The sequence below is a fragment of the Homo sapiens genome, chromosome 11 (assembly GCF_000001405.40).
Source record: "Homo sapiens chromosome 11, GRCh38.p14 Primary Assembly".
Classification (NCBI taxonomy): domain Eukaryota; kingdom Metazoa; phylum Chordata; class Mammalia; order Primates; family Hominidae; genus Homo; species Homo sapiens.
In genome coordinates, this window is record NC_000011.10 from 4185809 (window position 1) to 4204929 (window position 19121).

The 19121-nt window shown below is 44.3% G+C and overlaps 1 long non-coding RNA gene across 1 annotated transcript, besides 5 other annotated features; it reads left to right on the forward strand.

Annotated features, from left to right (window-relative positions):
* On the forward strand, positions 1344-16845 carry LINC02749 (long intergenic non-protein coding RNA 2749). The gene is made up of 2 exons (NR_047550.1): positions 1344-1396; positions 16451-16845. It is a non-coding gene; the product is annotated as a long intergenic non-protein coding RNA 2749 (long non-coding RNA).
* Positions 1839-2028: a silencer, noted in NCBI's record as "silent region_3094". NCBI's record gives its function as "represses an Ori minimal core promoter by ATAC-STARR-seq in GM12878 lymphoblastoid cells {active_cell/tissue: GM12878}" and the evidence as "EXISTENCE:reporter gene assay evidence [ECO:0000049][PMID:35858748]".
* Positions 3656-3881: a silencer, noted in NCBI's record as "fragment chr11:4210694-4210919 (GRCh37/hg19 assembly coordinates)". NCBI's record gives its function as "represses an EF-1alpha promoter that drives an FKBP-Casp9 reporter gene in an ReSE screen in HepG2 liver carcinoma cells {active_cell/tissue: HepG2}" and the evidence as "EXISTENCE:reporter gene assay evidence [ECO:0000049][PMID:32094911]".
* Positions 7746-8246: an enhancer, noted in NCBI's record as "H3K4me1 hESC enhancer chr11:4214784-4215284 (GRCh37/hg19 assembly coordinates)". NCBI's record gives its function as "activates a minimal SCP1, AML or CMV promoter by ChIP-STARR-seq in primed H9 embryonic stem cells {active_cell/tissue: H9 hESC(primed)}" and the evidence as "EXISTENCE:reporter gene assay evidence [ECO:0000049][PMID:30033119]".
* Positions 8247-8747: an enhancer, noted in NCBI's record as "H3K4me1 hESC enhancer chr11:4215285-4215785 (GRCh37/hg19 assembly coordinates)". NCBI's record gives its function as "activates a minimal SCP1, AML or CMV promoter by ChIP-STARR-seq in primed H9 embryonic stem cells {active_cell/tissue: H9 hESC(primed)}" and the evidence as "EXISTENCE:reporter gene assay evidence [ECO:0000049][PMID:30033119]".
* Positions 18035-18536: an enhancer, noted in NCBI's record as "H3K27ac hESC enhancer chr11:4225073-4225574 (GRCh37/hg19 assembly coordinates)". NCBI's record gives its function as "activates a minimal SCP1, AML or CMV promoter by ChIP-STARR-seq in primed H9 embryonic stem cells {active_cell/tissue: H9 hESC(primed)}" and the evidence as "EXISTENCE:reporter gene assay evidence [ECO:0000049][PMID:30033119]".

The following is a 19121-nucleotide window of genomic DNA, read 5'->3' on the forward strand; positions in this document are numbered from 1 at the left end:
TACAGAGGCAGGATACCACAGTGGGTACCAGGACAGGCCCTGCCCCTGGCTGCCTGGGTTCCAACTCACTTACTATTAGTGTGGTCTAGAGCAAGTCACTTAACTGCTCTGTGCCTCAGTTTCCTCCTCTGTGCAATGGGGATAATGATAATGGCAAGCACTTGCGTAGCACTTGTAAGGGCTTTCTTTTAAGGATTTTACATCTATTACTCATAGGATCCTCAGATTCTGTGTCTTTTTTCCTCAGATGGCCATAATACCTGGGTAGCTTTAAGGAATAAATTAGTTAATATACGGAAGGCACTTAGAACAGTGCTTGGCACATAGGCAACGCTCAGTAAATGTTAGTTATTCTTATTCAGCACCACAGAGTGGAGTCCCAGGAGGCTACAGACAGAATTCCTAAAAATAATGAAGATGATTATGATAACACTAGCAACAATAAAACATGCCCTCATAGTTTTACAGCACTTTTTAGGATACAAAGACTCCCACAGCTATTGTTTCATCTGAGACTGAGGAGACAAGTGTGTCTAAAAGTGTACACAGAAAACACTTTTTAAAAAGACATTCTTATTAGCATCCTGTGGGATGTCTTTTTTAAAAGTGTTCTCTGTTCAAATAAGTTTGGAAAACACTGAATCAAACCAAGTTAAACACTTTTCTTCTTGGAGAGACTCAAGCTCACTAAACGTTGTCAGACCCCACAAAAGCAGAGGGAAGTACAACATGCAGTGTTTCCCCAAATTATTGGGCCATGAAATCCTTTGTTCTGAGGAGTTGTGACTCCTGGAAGACACTTTCTCAAACACTGGGGTAGGCCGGGCGTGGTGGCTCATGCCTATAATTCTAGTGCTTTGGGAGGCTAAGTGGGAGGATCACTTGAGACCAGGACTTTGAGACCAGCCTGGGCAACATAGAGAGACCCTGTCTGTACCAAAAATAATTAAAAAAGAGAAAACACTGGGGTAAAGAGCTTTGGCTTTGTCACTGGCTGTGTGCCTTCAGGTCAAGTCATATGAATCTAGGCCTCAGTTTTCCCATATGTAAAATGGGAATAAACGTACACTCATGATGGGGCCATCAGTGTTGTAAGAACTAAATGAGGTCACTGGAGTAACGTACACAGCCTAATTCCTGGCAAATGGACAATAAACGTTAGATTATTATCGCCGTGACACCCCTATGAAATAACACCATTATTTTCCCCACCCAGATGGGGAGCTCAGTAGGTAGCTCCGGGGCCCTTCACTTTAGTGTGTCAGTGGAGCACCCTCACATCCCAGGCTGGGCGCCAGAGGGCGACTGGCTCTTTCCCTTCCCTCCCCATTCCCTTTTAAAGATGGATGAGGCCTCGGTTCAATGAGGGCCCCAGGCAGGGGACGGCCACACCCAGGTTTTTGGAGGGGCCGGGGAGGGCGCGTTCGGGGATGGCACTGGGAGTGGGCAGGGCTGACGCCCCTTTGCCCCCAGCCCGGTCTTCCTCTACGGCGACTTCGCCGCGGGGCAGTGCGGGGAGGCGCTCAGTGTAGAGCTCGTGGGGGCCTCCGCTGACAGCGGGGCAGGGACTGGGAGAAGGGCGGCGGCGGAGCAGGTCGCGGGCTGGTGCGGGGCCTGGGGGCACTGCCGAGCCTACACTGCGGCGGCCGCGGCGGCGGCGGCAGCGCGACAAGTTGCCATGGCCCGGCTGCCGCAGCTGCCCTCCCAAGGGTCTCGTTAGCTCTGCTTGGCCGGCCACCGCCGACTCGGCCCTAGGGACCCCGGCGACCTAGCAAACAGCCGATCCGCCGGGCGCTGACGAGGCTCGGGGGAAGAGGGCGGCAGTCCAGATGGCGCGCAAGTGAGTGCCAGGCCGCGAGGATTTGCCGCCGGGACCCAGGGCGCACTAGCTAGGTGCGCCGCCCACCCGCGGCCTCACGGGGGCGCCCGAGTCCACTGAATGAGCCCGGCGGGGCCGACAGCAGCAGTCGAGCGCGGGTGCGCCACTCTGACCGCCGCTCGCTGGTCTCATTGCCGGGGCCTGAGCGGGGGCTGGGGTGGGTGCCAACGAGGAAAGCACAGTTGATCTGCAAGTTAGTGGGCGGGGAGCCAGTAGGGAGGGACTGCGGAGCCGCGCTGGTCCTGATTCTTCCTCACTCAGCTATTTTAATAGCAATGAAATCTTGAAGGAGTGCTCTGAGGCTGATAGAGCTGTAGGAAAAGGTCTTGGGCGTTCAGATTTTTGGATGCTTCGTATTTTTCAACTTTATTATCTGGCAACAGTCTTTAAAACTCAATGACCAATTCCAGTTCTAGCCTTAAACCCAATTAATCCTTAACTATGAAAGCAGCATCCTAAAGTCTACTTTCACTTGTTAGCGGCATCTGTGGAAGTAGCCGAGGGTCTCAGGCAGTGCAGTAGCTCTCTGAATAGCCTCTCTTTCCTGAGAAAGGGAGCCTCAGCTGCTGTGCCCACCAGGCCTGGTGGGAGCGTGCGCTCACTGCGTAATAGAGCAGGGCTGTGCTTGTGAGGTCCCTTTGGCCCAAACTGTGCAGGATCTGCTGCCTGCCTTTCCTTTTTGTTGTATCGTTATTGCTTTGGCCCAGAAAGCTCTGATGCTACCTGCCTGCAAATAGCTCATCTTTACTCAATACCCGGGTCCTCACCCCTTTATACTGTGCCCCCTCTGGACTGTGATGCCTGATGCTTGTGTGGTCAGATTGCATTGACAAGAGATCTCTTCCTTGTCTTATAAGGGCACTAATCCCATCAGGAGGGTCCCACCCTCTTGACCTAGTCTAAACCTAATTACCTCCCAAAGGCCCCACCTCCTAATACCTCATTGGGGGTTCTGGCTTCAGCATAGGAATTTGGGGGGGCACAGAAGACTTTAATCCACAAGAGATGGGTTCCTGACAGTAGTAACCACTCCCCATCCACCCCTGAGTGCTGGTAGTCAGGGTCACGTTAGACTGGAGTGGTATAGAGAAGACTTCACCACTCTGTAGAAAAAGGCAAGAAGTCTTAACTGAAAGGGAAGTTTCTGGTCCCTTTTTCAAAATTACCTCCCTGGCTCTTTAAAATGCTGTATTTTATAAAATGTTTTCGATTTCCCTTTCAGATGTGCAGGCCAACCTCAAGGTGTGGGTTGCTTAGATTACAAAGGAACTTGAATTCTTTCATGTTTTTGTTTAAAGTATCACTATCATCATCTAAAGCCAAGATTGGCTGCTTTGAGGACCTTTTCTGAACCGTGTACTAGGATAATAACTCTGAAGGAGACTGTTCTTGGAAAAGGCTGATGTTGGGACCTTGCTAGCCATTTTGGAATTAGGGAATGAGGTGTATTGGCATGAGCAGCAGCACTTTTGTGGCTGTCAGGCAGAGATTTTCTTTTCTTTTTTCCTTTATAAGTCACCCAACCCAAATTGTTATCAGGCAGATATTTTTATAGGGGTAGTGGGAGGCAGTTCCCAAGTCCCCTGTCCCTCTCTGCACCTAGTCTACCCTCTAAGATTGCAACCATCATAGCATCTTCTTACACATTACAATGCAGTAAACTTGGGCACATTGAGCACCAGTCATGGCCGCTGTGTTCCTGAAGGTACAGAAGTGGCACTGGGGCCAGGCTGCTGTCTGGAAAATGTTAGCCACTTTGGTGGTACTGCCCTTCCGACACCGCCTCCTCACCTCCCCCACCCCTACACACAAAAAACAAGACAAGTAGAGCAAACAAACCACTTCTCCAGGTAGACAGACCTGCAGGTCTGCTCATGGTGACCCTCTCTTTAGCCTGCATTGTTTCCAAGGCCTTCAGCTGGCCTATTGTTTGCTAAGGGCCCACACCTTGGCAGGAGCTGAAAAGAGAGGATTTCCTTTTGCTCAGGGGAGGAGGGTCTGTCCTGGGTTTGCAGAGATAGGCTTCTTGTCTATGCTGCTGAAGAAAACAAACTAGACAGGAGTCAGATGTGGGCTCTACCTTCTTGCTCAGTCTCTAATTCACTGTGGCCTTGGGCAGATCAGTTCTCCATCCTTATTAGTATCTTGGGTGGAATACTCCTTAAGGAATCTTTCAAGTATTGAGTGCCCCCATGCCCCCACCACCTTCCACAACCAGGCCTAGGTGAGGCAGGAAGGAAGAAAAGAAAGTCTGGGTGCAGAGTGTGTAGTATGCCTCACAGTACAGCCTGCAGGAAGGCCTTGGATAAGAAAGGCTGAGTGATATTCCAGGGGGTGGGACAGAACAGAGTGTGGTTTGGGTGGGAAGATGACCTGGTGAACCTCAGGTTCTCTCAAGGCTTTACAGAGGTGGGAGCAGGGCCATGGGTAGGCTGGCTACAGTATCCCTGCTGAAAGGGAATACTTGTTGGTACAAACTCAGCTCTTGGGGCAAGGATCATATGAACTTGCGGTCATGAAAGTGTAAGTAGGGTAGAAATATGAGGAAGGGAGAGGCACTTGGTCATGGCCAAGGCTGGAGTGTCATTAATGTGTGGGGGTTGAGGAAGCAGGTCACAGGATTGTTGGATGGCTCATTCTACAGTCTTGTGCCCTGGGAGCCCCTCATGTGGGAGACAGGTGGTGGATGTCAGGAAGAGCTAGAGGTGGGAAGGGTAGGCTTGATATTTAGACTATGTGTCAAGTAGGGCAGGGCCAGTTACTGAAATACCGAAACACTAGTTGTCATTTGGAAATGGCTGAGGCCCCAGGCTCCCTGAGGCCCCCAGCCACCTTGTCCTTGGAACCTTGCTGGTGCTCACTGGCCCATACACTGTCTGCCCAGTGTATTCCCTGGGCTCTGACCCCAGTCCCTATGTGTCCTCTTGACCAGGGTATGCACCTGGACGTCAGTGGGAATTCACTTCCCCAGGGGAAGTGCTGGAATCCCCATATACACTTCTGGCTCCTGAGGCTGTGTCTGCTGGATGGTGCCTCCCCAGTGTCACTGTCCCGTGGTGGCTTGTGGGAACCCTGCCTGCACTGTGAACGGTATCGGTCGTTATGTATGCTGACAATCACCCCTGGTAAAGGAAGGGGACAGTAGGGTGAAGAATTCTGTTTTGGGTGCCTGGCCGCTTTGCAGCGGGGACAGAGGGCAAGACCTGGCAGGCCTGCAGTCTTCCTCGGCTATCGTGAAGAGGGTTGTGAGTGCCAAATCCATCCCATAGGGAGATCCCAGAGGAGACTCTGGCACCCCCTCTGCCAGAGGGCAGGCCCATGAGTGCGGCCCTGCAGACCAACAGTTTCTTACCCTCCTTCCTTCGCGAGACCTGGCACAGCTGCCTGCCTCACTCCTGGGAGCCGAGTCCTACTGGGAGCTCGTTCCTGCCAAGGCTGGGATCCAGTCCCCCTCTCCCCTCTGTGGGCACTTGGCAGGCCGAGGTCCCTGCTTCCCTCTGCCAGTTCCTGCCAAAGCTAATCTCCCTGCGGCCTGTTCCTGGCAGTGGTTGCACGTGGGTATCTCTGCTGGGCAGGCCTGCTTCCATCACTGGCACGGACCCCATTTCCCAAGAATCCTTTTTGGGTGGCACAATCCCAGGCAGAATTCTCCCAGGAGGTTCCTGAGTGCCTCCCTTGCTGGTTCAGCACCTGATCACGTTCCTGGATTCCCCCTGAACTCCTCCAGTGTCTGCAGGATGCTTTTCAGTTCACAAAGCACTTTCATATTATATCTCATTAGATGCTCAGCAGCCCCTCAAACAGCAAGTGGTGCCCTTGAGCCTGCAGGGCCCTGGAGTGGGCAGATTTCCTGAACCATCTGCTCTGACTCTGCCTTTGGGCCAGTGGAGAGGCCTTTGTGAGACCAAATCTTCAGGTTCTCGGTGGGGCAGGTGGCAGTTCAGTAGGAGGTGGCCTCGGGCCTCCTCTTCTGGGGAAGGTGTCAGAGAGGGGTCAGGAGACTATGTAGCCTCTTGTGGCCCCAGTCCCCTGATCAAAAACCAATAGGAAAAGTCTCTTAGAAGAGAAACAGCTTTTGGGTTAATCTGTAGGGGCAGTGAGAAAGGGTTGGGGAGGTTGGGGCCCAGCTGGGCCACGTGGATTCGATCTTGGCTTAGAGTGGGCACAGGAAGCTATGTGATGAAGGGGAGCCCCTAGGGAGGAATCTGGGTACAGGGGATGGGGCTGGAATCAGCTACCTGGTCCGTAAGTTGTGTTGTTAAATTTGGAGAAAAACTGTTTTCCAAAAATGGAGGTAAATTGAAGTTTGTAAGAGCTGGTGAATAAGCCATGCCTCCTTGGTGGTTTGGAGCAAGACGTTTTCCACGCAGGCCATTTCATCAAGACTCAGTGGTAATTTGGGATTGCCTCAGCTCTCCCAGCTCGGCTGCCTGTTGCTGTCAGTGGGTCTGGGGGGCCTCAGGGCTGCAGAGGCTTGGTGGTGTGGGAGTCCTTCACCTGAGGGCTGACGTGCCTTTTGGGGGTCTGGAGCATACTTCCAGGAGACAACCTCTCTTCCTCCTGTCACCTCTGCTCCTCCCTCAGCCTCCCTGTGTTCCTTTAAGCAGGGGGCATGGGAAGAATTTCTTCTGAAGCAACTGATGTTCTAAATTTGAGAGAGGGGAATACCATCATGTGGCCTGAAGTTAGCAGCCCAGAGGCTGAGGGCTGTGGCTCTGGCAGGTGCTGGTGTCCAGGGTGCAAGGAAGACTCCAATGTCCAGAGGACTCTCATGAAGGTGACTGGGAGCAGACTGTGGTGGAGGTGACAGCTCAGGGAGGAAGATGGGATTGTCAGGACTCAGTTCTTTGCTGGAAGAGACTTCTCTTCCATGGGGTGGTGAGTCCAAGTGAGACCTTGGTTCCTCTTCCTGGGTAGAATCCTCCCTTCCATTGGAATTATCCTAAAGGTCCACCCCACTGACTCCTAGCGGCCTCTTTCCTGGTAAGGAAGTCTGATTGGCTTTTGGCTTGGCTAACCTGAGTCACTTCTTCCAGAGCTGTCCTCATGCTGCAGCCACTGCTGTCCCACAGCAGCTGTGGGTCATCCTTCAGCTACAGATCCTCCCATTTTCCTTGTCCCCCCATCAGTGTGCGTGCACACTTCTGTGTATGCAGGTTTGGGGTAGGCTTGGTCTGCAACTGCGGGGGCCATGCGCAGTTGAGTTCAGTCTGGTCATGCCACAGAATTATTTACACTGAAACCCTAAAACCCTCTAGCGAAAGGTTAGATCTTTAAGTCAGACTTGTTTGGCAGGTCAGTGAGATGACAGGGAGGTTTAAGACCTGAATTGGGGGATGGGGCACAAAGGAGTCGTGGCTGTTTCTGGATCTAAGGCCTCTGTAGGGAGGTGAGATCCAGACTGGGTAGAGGCTGGTGATTCTTCTGGAGCCAACTCTGTGCCAGGCCCTATTGTGGCTGTGGAGGAGCATAGTTAAAACTCTGTGCTTTCCAGGACTTGAAGTCTGTGCACTGCCCTTACTACGATAAACAAAGGAATGAAAGTTCCTCTCCCAGGTCCATGATTCAGAGGGCTCTTAGGGGTATGTGTGTAGGAGGCGGTTTGCTGCTCATGCAGACATTTGGAGAAACTCTGGTTCCATCTCGTCACCCCCACACCAGCATCCAGGAAGACATATGGGCAGACTGGTGCGGGCCAGCAGGTGTGGGGATGCTTCTTTGCTGTGAGCTTCTGCCAGGTGTTAGAGAGGGAAATCGAAGTGTCCAGCTGCCCCAGAGCTGGGAGTCCTTCAGATTTACCAGAACTTTCTGATTACAAAGACTTCCTGCTTATTGTTTTGATTCTTAGGATTATAATCTTACTTTTGCTTTCCATGCTCACATCCCCAGTCTGAATCTGGGGCTGCTTCTCACCACTGCCAGCCTCAAGGCAGAGAAGGCAGGCTCCTCTCCCATTTGTGTTCCCTCTAAATGGTTGCATAGGTACTCGCTTGCAGAACCATTACTACCAATAGTGGAAAAATGAGATGGGGAGGGCAATATACTTTTATTCTTATTTTATTTGAGACAGGTTCTCATTATGTCACCCACACCCATGCTGGAGTGCATTGGTGTGATCACAGCTCCTGGGCTCAGGTGTTCCTCTTGCCTCAGGCAATTTTTAAAAAATTTCACACTTGATTGGCCAAGAACCTCCCCTCCGACCCCCACAACAACCTACCCAGCATTTACTCCTCAGTCTGAGGACACGTCCCTCACATCAGCCCCTCTGCTGTCTTGAAAGGCTCACCTCCTGGAAGCTGGCTCCTCCCTGATTCAGGGCCCAGCACAGCGTCGGAAAAATGGAGCAGTGCTGCCCACTGTGTTCGAAGGCCTCCCTCCTCTGTTTTATTCTGGGCCCCTTGGGCAGGGCTTACATCAGAGCCAGTCCTCCTTGGCTGATTCAAAGGGACAAACTCCTGGGTCAGTCCTGAGGACAAGGAATAGTGAGTGGGTGAGGGAGGGGCTGGCAACAACTGGAGTGTGTCTGGCCACAAGCTAGACTGTGGCTGCAGCTGATGGCCATCATCAAGCTGGCGCCAAAGCTGCCCTCCTGCCCAGGTTTCCAGAGATTCTCTAGCTAGTTCTCTTCTCTGTTCTTTGGAAGATTTACTGCCTTATTCCACCGCTTTAGTGGTTATCCTACAATTTCCTACATTTTTCTTTGACTTAAATAAGTAAAATCTTTACTCCTTTTCCTGAGCCATTCAAGGAACTTGGGTTATTTTAACTTTACTTTCCTCCTGCCTTACATGATTTTCTTTTAAAAACTTAATTTTATTTATAATTCCAGAGTTATAGAAAATTTGTAACAGTTGGTGTACAGTATTTCCATATATCCCCTCTCAAGTTCCATATATATTAATATTTAACTACATATACCTTATAATTCTTTCCCTCCCCAACATCATTTTTTTCTGAACTATTTGATACTGATCTACATATATGTGCTGTGTTACCCCTAAATATATCCTTGTGTATTTCCCAAGATATAAAAATATTCTCATAAAATTATCACACAGTTATCAAAAGCAGGTAATTAAGAAGACACAATGCTATACTCTAATTTACAAACCTTATTCAAATTTCACCGAATGTCTTAGTTATGTCTTTATAGCCAGAGAAGGAAAAAAATACATATTTTTCTTGTCTAGGATTTAGTCTAGAATCATGTTACATTTAGTCATTTCTAGTCTTCTTTAAGCCGATTTCTCTTGGTCTTTCTTTCACTTTTCTTTTTTGAGGGGTACAGGACAATTATTTTGTAGAATGACCTTATTTGGGTTTGTCTGATGTTTCCTCATGATTAGATTCCAGTTATGTATTTCTGGCAGAAATGCCACAGAAGTGATATTGTGTCCTTCTCAGTGCATTGTTATCAGGAGGCACATGATGTTGGTTTTTGTCCCACTGCTGGAGATAATAACTTTGGTCACTTGGATAAGGTGGTGTCTGCCAGGCTTTGTCTGCCATTGCAAAGTTAATATTTTCATTTGGTAATTAAGCTTTGGGAAATACTTTGAGATGATATAAATATTCTGTTTCTCATCAGACTTTACCCACTAAATTTTAGCATCCTTTGATGATTAGTGTTTGAGGTATAATGGTTGTAAAATGGTGAATTTTCTGCTTCCATTATTTCTCATACATTTATTAGTTGTTACTCTACTGTAAGGAAGAGTTTACCTCCCTCCCTCCCAATCCATCCATCCATCCATCCATCCATCCATCCATCCATCCATCCACCCGCCCATCCATCCATCTACCTACCCACCCATCTTCCATTCAGTCAGTCTGGATTCATAGATATTTATTTTATTTAATTAGTTATGCTTTGTTACTAGCATTGGTGATTTTGATGATCAAAATTATCCCAGATTAGTCCTGTGAGAGCTCCTCCAAGTTGATTCTTGTGTCTTTTTGACACACTGCTATTACTTTTTGAGCACTTCCTTACTTTCTGTTACTACAAGATATTCCAGGCTCATCTTGTACTTTCCCGGCTCAAACTCTGTAATCTGGTATTTTTCTAAGAAACCCTGATTCCTTTTAGCAGAGAATTGTGTATAAAAACAAACCAAGACCTGGAATAGGTCTGTTCATTGCCAGAGTGTTGTTATTTTTAGGCCCTGTCATACATATACACACATGTGTGTGTAGTATATATATTATGTAAATATGCACACACACACATGCAAATCCATTCATCTATCTACCTACCTACTTACCTACCTATCTTTCTTAAAAACCATGAGTTCATACTGATATGACCAGTTCCAATCCAACACTCTAGAGTTCATTTTAACCTTCTCTCTTTCCATATATGTAATTTCCTTCTCCAACCGTGAAAAACCTGGTTTCAGTTACCCACAGTATATTTACTTATTTGCTTAATCCTAGAATACACAGAATGTAGTTTCAGAATTGTTAACTCATGCTGGTGTGGGAAACAAATCTATTAAACAGAGTTCAATATTTGCTACTGTCTTTTTGCCCTAGCCTGAGAATACAGAGGCAAAGTACTGCTTCAAAACTTCTGTTATCACCCCCTACCCGTACTGTGTTTTGTCATTCACTTAACCTACAGTTCGGTACACTTGCTTCCATATGTATTCAATGCTAATGTTTCCTCCTTTTATCCTTGTTGATTGTATTTACTGAAAAACTGAGTACATGAAACATTAACATGGTTGTAAAAGTCAGAACAGATCTGTACAAAAACATGAACTCAGAGAAGTGTCACTGCCCTCCATCTTCTCTACCTTGCTCCCACCATCTTATTCTTTTCACCCATCAGGCTAAAAAAAGACATCAGAGAAAAATATATCCTAATATGTTGAGTTTATTCGGGAGTAAGCAAAAGGATTATAATCTGGGAAGCACAGCTGTAGCAAGCCATAGGTACAGGTACATCAAGCCAAAGGTAAAGGGAAATTTTTACTGGCAAGGAGAAGCTATGTAAGCTGCTTGGAGACAGAGTTCATTGGTTCTGGAGGCTCAAAGCTAGAATTAGCATCAGTTCATTGGTGGAGATGCCACTGCTAGGCATCGGCCTAGCATCTTATCAGAATTGCTACAGTCCTAAAGAATGTATAGTGATAAACCTGGTCATAGAAATATGTGCATGCATGTAAAATGTAAAATGCATGTAAAATGTAGATCATGAAAAGCATGAGATGTATAAAAGATGAAGGAATTTCTCGTGGAGTTATTTTAGAAAGTCCTTGAAATAGTCCTTATCTCAGATGTGCAAGCATGAGCTGTGCTCCTTTGTGTGTTCTGGCTCCAGTTTGCTCGGGTCTGACAAAAGTGACTTATTTTGCTATCTGCAACTTTAGTCACTCCATTTCCACCCACTCCTGTATGGAACCAATCTCATTAGTTTCTGGGTTTCCTTTCCTAAGTTTCTTTTTGTATAGTTGTGCAGACAAATATATATTTTCTTATTCCCCTTTCTTTCTTGCACAAAACGTGGCATACCATAAACACTTTCTCACACTTTGCTTTTTAAATTTAACAGCATATCTTGGGAGCCATTCTATATCAGTTTATAGATGTCATCCTCATTCATTTTTATAGCTGCAGACTATTCCATTCGATGATGTACCATAGTTCATTCAACCATTTTCCTATGTAAAGTCATTTTGGTTGTTTCTAATATTTTTCAATTATAAACAATGCTACAATGAAAATCCTTAAACATATGTATTTTTGTATATATTTGAATATGTATTACCAGGATAAATTATAAAAAGGGGGAAAAGCATGTGCCATTTTGTTTGATATCATCAAATTCTCCCCCATTAAGGTTGTACTAATTTCCATTCCCATCAGAAATGCTTGAGCATCTACTTTCTTCAAGCCTTGCCAACAGAACGTGTTAGTGTATGTTTACATTTTTGCCAATCTGCTAGGTGAGAGATAATATCTCAGTGTTATTTTAATTTGCATTTCTCTTATTATAGTTGAGGCTGAATGTTTTTTCACATGTTTACGGGACATTTTAATTCTTTTTTCAGTCAATGGTCTGTTTATGTCTTTGACTATTTGACCATTTTTATATCAGGTTTTTGAAACTTCTATCGAGTAGAAAAAGTTATTTATATATTAGCGATATTACATATGTATCTGTGTTATATATTACCGATCTTTTCTCTCAGTGTTTAATTTATTTTGGGATTTTTTTTTTTTTTTCTGCGACAGAGTCTTGCTCTGTTGCCCAGGCTAGAGGGTAGTGGTACAGGCTCGGCTCACTGCAACCTCCCCCTCCCAGGTTCAAGCGATTCTCCTGCCTCAGTCTTCTGAGTAGCTGGGATTACAGGTGCCCGCCACCACGCCCGGCTAATTTTTGAATTTTTAGTAGAGACGGGGTTTCACCACGTTGGCCAGGCTGGTCTTAAACTCCTGACTTCAGGTGATCTGCCTACCTTGGCCTCCCAATGTGCTGGGATTACAGGCGTGAGCCACAGCACCCGGCCAGGACTTTTCTTTTTTCTTTTTTTTTTTGAATAAAATAATTTTATTTTTGTATAATAAAATAATTTTATTTTTGTATAATAAAATAATTTTATTTTTATATAATACAATTTATCAGTCTTTTATTGTTTTGGATGAGTTCACTTCCATTAAATCCAGGGAAGTGAAATTATATATGTGACCTTAATATGAGTTTTAATAATCTACTTTTCAATTTTTCAGTATTTTAAATATTTCTTTAATGTTCTGGAAAAAATAGCCACTAGCAAATACAGAAATACGTGTACACAGGGGCACACATTTTTCCTTTTGTCTCTGTCTCCAGTACGTCTCAGGGCAGCACTGAGCAGAGGCCTATGGGCCATCTCAGTCTTTCATTAGAGCCAGTAGCCAAAACATATCTGTCCAAGAGCTATGACAACAGCAGCAAAGCTTGTGGAAGCCTCAGCCAACTTAGTCCTAGAGTTTCCACCAAACTGAATGGTTCCCCATAGTGAACACTGTTTTACTGAGAGAAAACAGTCAGCGCTTCTTGGTTATCCACCTCCCTAAGAGTTATAATAGCGATAGAAAAATATGAGAAAACTTCAACTTCAGTAGATTTAGTTCTGACGCCTCCGCTAAACTTAGTGGTTCCCCATGCTCTGCGGACGCTTATATTCACAGAATATCCTCACCACTTTTTGCTAGTTGCCTACCCTCTGTGACATATCGTTGCCTCCCCCTTCGCATATCACTGTCCAGTGTGGCAATACTCTACACACAGCCACCTCCTTCTTTTAAAGGAGGTGGCTTTACCTCTGTTAAGGGACTATCATGCTCTTTCAGATCTTTTTTTAAATTTTTATTTTTTAACCTTTTAAAAATTTCAATAGTTTTTGGGGAACAGGTGATTTTTGGTTACATGGATAAGTTCTTCAGTGATAATTACTGAGATGCAGCCATCACCTGAGCAGTGTACATTGTACCCAATGTGTAGTCTTTTATCCCTCGTCCCCCTCCCAACTTCCCCCTTGTCTCCACCGTCCCTTTTATCATTCTTACACTTTTGCGTCCTTGTAGCTTAGCTCTCACTTATAAATGAGAACTACAATATTTGGTTTTCCATTCCTGAATTTCTTCACTTAGAATAATGGTCTCCAATTCCATACAAGTTGCTGCAAATGCCATTATTTTGTTCCTTTTAATGGTTGAGTAGTATTTCACTATATATATATATATATATCTCACATATATATCACATATATATGTGTATATAAATGTGATATATATATGTATACACACACTACATTTTTAAAATCCACTTTTTGGTTGATGGGCATTTAGGCTGGCCCCATATTTTTGCAATTGCAAATTGTTTTGCTATAAACATATGTGCAAGTGTCTTTTTCATATAATGAACTCTTTTCCTCTGGGTAGATACTCAATAGTGGGATTGCTGGATCAAATGGTAGTTGTACTGTTAGTTCTTTGAGGAATCTCCATACTGTTTTCCATACTGGTTGTACTAGTTTACATTCCCACCAGCAGTGTAGAAGTGTTCCCTGTTCACTGTATCCACACTAACATCTACGGTTTTTTTGATTTTTTTATTATGGCCATTCTTGCAGGAGTAAGGGGGTATCTCATTGTGGTTTTAATTTGCAGTTCCCTGATGATTAGTGATGTTGAGCAGTTTTCATATGTTTGTTGGCCATTTGTACATCTTCTTTTGAGAATTGTCTATTCATGTCCTTTGCCCACTTTTTGATGGGATTATTTTTTTTTTCTTGCTGATTTGTTTGAATTCCTTGTCGATTCTGGATATTAGTCCTTTGTATGATGCATAGTTTGCAAATACTTTCTCCCGTCCTGTGGGTTGTCTGTTTACTCTGCTGATTATTTCTTTTGCTGTGCAGAAGCTTTTTAGTTTAATTAGGTCCCATCTATTTTTGTTTTTATTGCACTTGCTTTTGGGTTCTTGTTCATGAACTCTTTGCCTAAGCCAATGTCTAGAAGAGTTTTACTGATGTTATCTTTTATAATTTTTATAGTTCCAAGTCTTAGATTTAAGTCTCTGATCCATCTTGAGTTGATTTTTGTATAAGGTGAGAGATGAGGATCCAGTTTCTTTCTTCTAGATGGTGTCCTTTTCCCACTTTATGTTTTTGTTTACTTTGTCAAGGATCAGTTGGCTTTAAGTATTTGAGTTTATTTCTGCGTTCTCTATTCTGTTCCATTGGTCTACATGCCAATTTTTATACCAGTGCCATGCTGTTTTGGTAACTATAGCTTTATAGTAGAATTTGAAGTTGGGTAATATGCCTGCAGATTTATTCTTTTTGCTTAGTCTTGCTTTGGCTATGTGGTGTCTTTTTTTGTTCCATATTAATTTTAGGATTATTTTTTCTAGTTCTGTGAAGAATGATGATGGTACTTTGATGGGAATTGCATTGAATCTGTAGATCCCTTTTGGCAGTATGGTCATTTTCACTATATTGATTCCACCCACCCATGATCTTGGGATGTGTTTCCATTTGTTTGTGTTGTCAATGATTTCTTTCAGCAGTGTTTTGTAGTTTTCCTTTTAGAGATTTTTCACCTCCTTGGTTAGGTATATTCCCAAGTATTTTATTTTTTGGACACCCCTCATTTAATTGTTTGTAGATGGTTCATACCTAAAAAGAAAAACTACAAGTTGCCAATTATGTTATACTATCACAGACTTGAATTTACCTTTAAGCTTCTCAAAGAAATGAAATCTGTTCAGATGGCTAAATTGCCTTTGTCCAGACATGCCAGCCAACAAAAGATAAAAAACAAATACTTGTCCTGATGGTGGGTATGATTTTGGGTTGGCCCATGATTTTGAAATGCTTTAAAAAAAAAGGACATTTTCTGACTGTTACAGGAATCCTTATAAAATGGATAGCAAATTAAGGAACCCTGAGAAGTTTTCCATTACCTAAAGAAATGGCCATGATAAATGTAGAATTTAGCAAAAGTGCTTCATGATATTACCCATAATACAAGAGATAAATCTGCCATGATTTTTATTTTATTTTTTATTTTTTGACTTTTATTTTAAGTTCAGGGGTATATGTATAGGTTTGCTACATAGGTCAACTCATGCCACAGGGGTTGTTGTACAGATTATTTTGTCACCCAGGTATTAAGCCTGGTATCCATTAGTTATTTTGTCTTATCCTCACCCTCCTCCCACCCTGCACTTTCTGGCGGGCCTCAGTGTCTGTTGTTCCCCTCTCTGTGTCCATGTGTTCTTATAATTTAGCTCCCATTTACAAGTGAGAACATGTGGTATTTGGTTTTCTGTTCCTGTGTTAGTTTGCTAAGGATAATGGCCTCCAGCTCCATCCGTGTTCCTGCAAAGGACATGACCTTGTTCTTTTTTATTTGTCATGATATTGAACCAACATTGATGGGGGTAATTTTAGGAGGTTTCATAGACATTTCCAAAATATGTCCAACCTGACAATGACACAATCCTGGCAAGATTTTAAGGATAGGTCATGGACAGGAACCGAAGTCTCACTGCCCCTTTGAACGTCTCCAAATGTGCTGAGTGCATTCTGATTATTGTTGTTTATTCTTAGGGTTAGTTGATGTTTTACCTTACTGGAGAGTGGTAGCTATAGTGGTAGGAACAAATTTGCTTAATTTTGTTGTATTTCTGACTTGGAAAATCCCAACTTATTTTGCAGTTAAGAGGAACACACATATCACTGGTACTGTTGTTACTGAACCCTGCAATGCTTTACTTTTTACTCAGAATCTCTACTGACCTTTATCATCCACAAAATTCAGGGAAAAGATAGAACTAAAATTCTAAAAGTATAATTATCAGAGCTCTCAAAACCCTCACACTCCTAAGGCTTGAGGAGTGCTATTGGTGTTGATGGAAGTAAGACCAATTTTCAGGACCTACAGGTGGCCACCTTTGGAATTCATAACAGGCTTCCTCACTACTTGCAATCCTAGATTCTACATTATGAGTACAAGCTGATATGATTCATTGCTGAAGGGTACTCACAATAACTCCAGCTTTATCACCAACAGGTAAACGCTGCATTTCTACAACAGCCACCTGTGCAGGCCCTGCATGCTCTGTAACCTGGGGATTTGGTCTTCTGAAAAGGGCACCAGAGAAAAACTGCTCTTAAGCCTCTGTTAACTGACACAGCAGTAGAACTCCAAGGTGTTGATCCTTGGATTCATGTTTCTCAACTTCAGAGACACACATCACTCCTTCCTGACCACTGGGCATCCATCCCACCAGGAGCTCCTAATCTGAGAGCTGTTAGAAATCCTCCAAAAGTGCTGACTGCAGAAGTTGGTAGCTTCTGCTCAAGATGACAGAACAAGATTAACTTTTGTATTCTTCAGCACCTTTTTTATTTTCCATTATCACACTTTGATACCCTCTAAAACATTAAAACACCTTCTAGAATGCTTATGTGATCAACTTGATCTTTGTCTTATTAATTTTGACCTCTGTCATCTCCTTCTACCACTTAAGAAAAAACCAAAACTCCCTTGTGCATCTTTTTCAAACCACAGCTACTGCCCTGAATTTAACTAATTACTGACAAAATCTAGTAAGTATCACTTCAGACACTTCAGAAGGAAGTACAGGCCCTTTCTAGTACTTAAGTTTGCCTTACACCACAAATCCCAACCTTCAGTCCTGTAAAAACTGGAGCTTGATGTCACATCAATGGAATGCTTCTGACAATGTCATCACAATCCTTTCAGCACAACCTGGGTGTCATGAGTGAGCACTGACATAGGACTATCCTTGCTACAGCTACCACTCTGTTCTCTTCAGAGACACTCTGGCTTGCTTCTCAAAAACTGTTTAACTCTACTCAAGAACAGCCCACAAAAAATCCTGACCCATAGCTGTTGTGCTAAAATGAACTTTCTGTTTCCATACAATCTGTGCCCCACTAAGATGCTACCAAAGCAGACATCAGGCTTACACTGCCTGCTGTAATATAGGAAGTAGATGTTTCCACATCAATAAATATTCCTTTCATACGCTGCTAATGTATTCATGCAGCCCATTAGATAGATGTACTAAAACGAAGTTAGCCAGTTTTAAATATAATTTTGTATTTATGTGCTCTTTTAATTTATTCATATTAAAACAGACATGATCATTATCTTTTAATATACATTTTACAACTTGTATGGTTATTTTTTGAGAATAAGCTGACAGATTTGGATTGATGGGTAAAATGTAAGCATATACGTTAAAGGGTTTAAAAAAATCTGTAATGCTAAACTATTATCCAGTGAGGTTTTATTGGTCTATAATCCCAACAACAGCCTACCCATTGTCAGCTTGCTCACACCCATGCCAGCACTGGAATTAGCTAGCCTTTTCATCTTCGCTGGAGCGGGAGGTGATCCAGTAGAAAAAAATGGCACCATTTTTTCCCTAGTTAGAAATTCTTGGGTTACTGGTAAAGGTGAACTTTCCTTCTGTTGTTCGGCTGGACTCTAGACAGGAGCTGGTGTGAGGCAATTTAAAATGCTGCTTTCCAGAGAGGCCTGGAGAGACTGTTCTCTGTGCTGTAGAGGGAGCTGTTCATGAGAAGAGGGAGCCTGAAAGGGCGTTGTCATTGTTGTTCTCTCCTGCTACCCCATGCCTCACAGAAAGGTCCACAGGCCAGGAACAGGGAAAGGGGTTCCTGTGTTTATGCCACTTGTAGACGGCACAATACAAACCTGGCTGCAGAAAGAGAAAAAGAGAAGGTTATCATCAGACACAGTGAATAATGGGAAATAATTTCAGAGAATCAGAAAACTGTTAACTAGAAAGTGAGGCTGAGGAAGTGACCTACGAGAAATGGACAAGGACTCGATTTACACAGTAACGAGAGGGACAGAGAGAGAAACCCAGAGAACAGGCAGTGGCTGGCACAGAGGCGGCAGGGCTGAGAGGAATGGAGTGAGTGTCTCCCAGACAGTGAGCTCTGAGCTGCACTATCCAGAGCACAGGGGAACGCCAGAGCGAAGAGCCCCACCTCCTCAAGGAGGCAGAGGCTTTCCACATTTTCTCTAAACTCTCCTTCCCTCCCAAATAAAATGGCCCTGTCTGTCCCATGGCCTCTGCCTCAACTACAAAAATATCTGTCCCCCTGGGGGTGGGGAAGGAGAGATGTGTCAATACCAGGGAATGGCTCCAGTGAGGGCAAGGAGGCCTCGCTGGGCAGGCGGGGGACTACCAGCATCCATCTGAGCAGCCCCACTCTCAGCATCCAGGACGACACAGAGGAAACACAAAAGCTTATGTCCCAGAATCCTGGAGGGATGTGGGCAGGAGACTGGCCCTGGGACCAACTCAGACGCTCTGTTTCCACTTTCTCTCCAACATCTCAGGCTGATTCCTCAGGTTCCCCATTTCAAGGTATGACATAATTACAGAATCTTACTTCAGTCTATCAGGCTACACGAGTGGTGTCCAAAGGCCTCACACAGATGCCTCACTCCATCCTCTCTGAGGAGATGATACCTCATTAAACTTTTCCAGAAACTAACGGTTCTTAAGAGTAAAGATTCTGACAACAGGCATCAACATTTTTCAAACTGTAAGAGAGTCATGAAGTGGAAAATATTTTTGGACATCACTGCCTTTGTAGAAGAGAGAAACTAACTTCACATTTAAGTTAAAATAAAAACTAAACAAAACTCTCTGTGTGTGTGTGTACTGTTTGCAAATGAT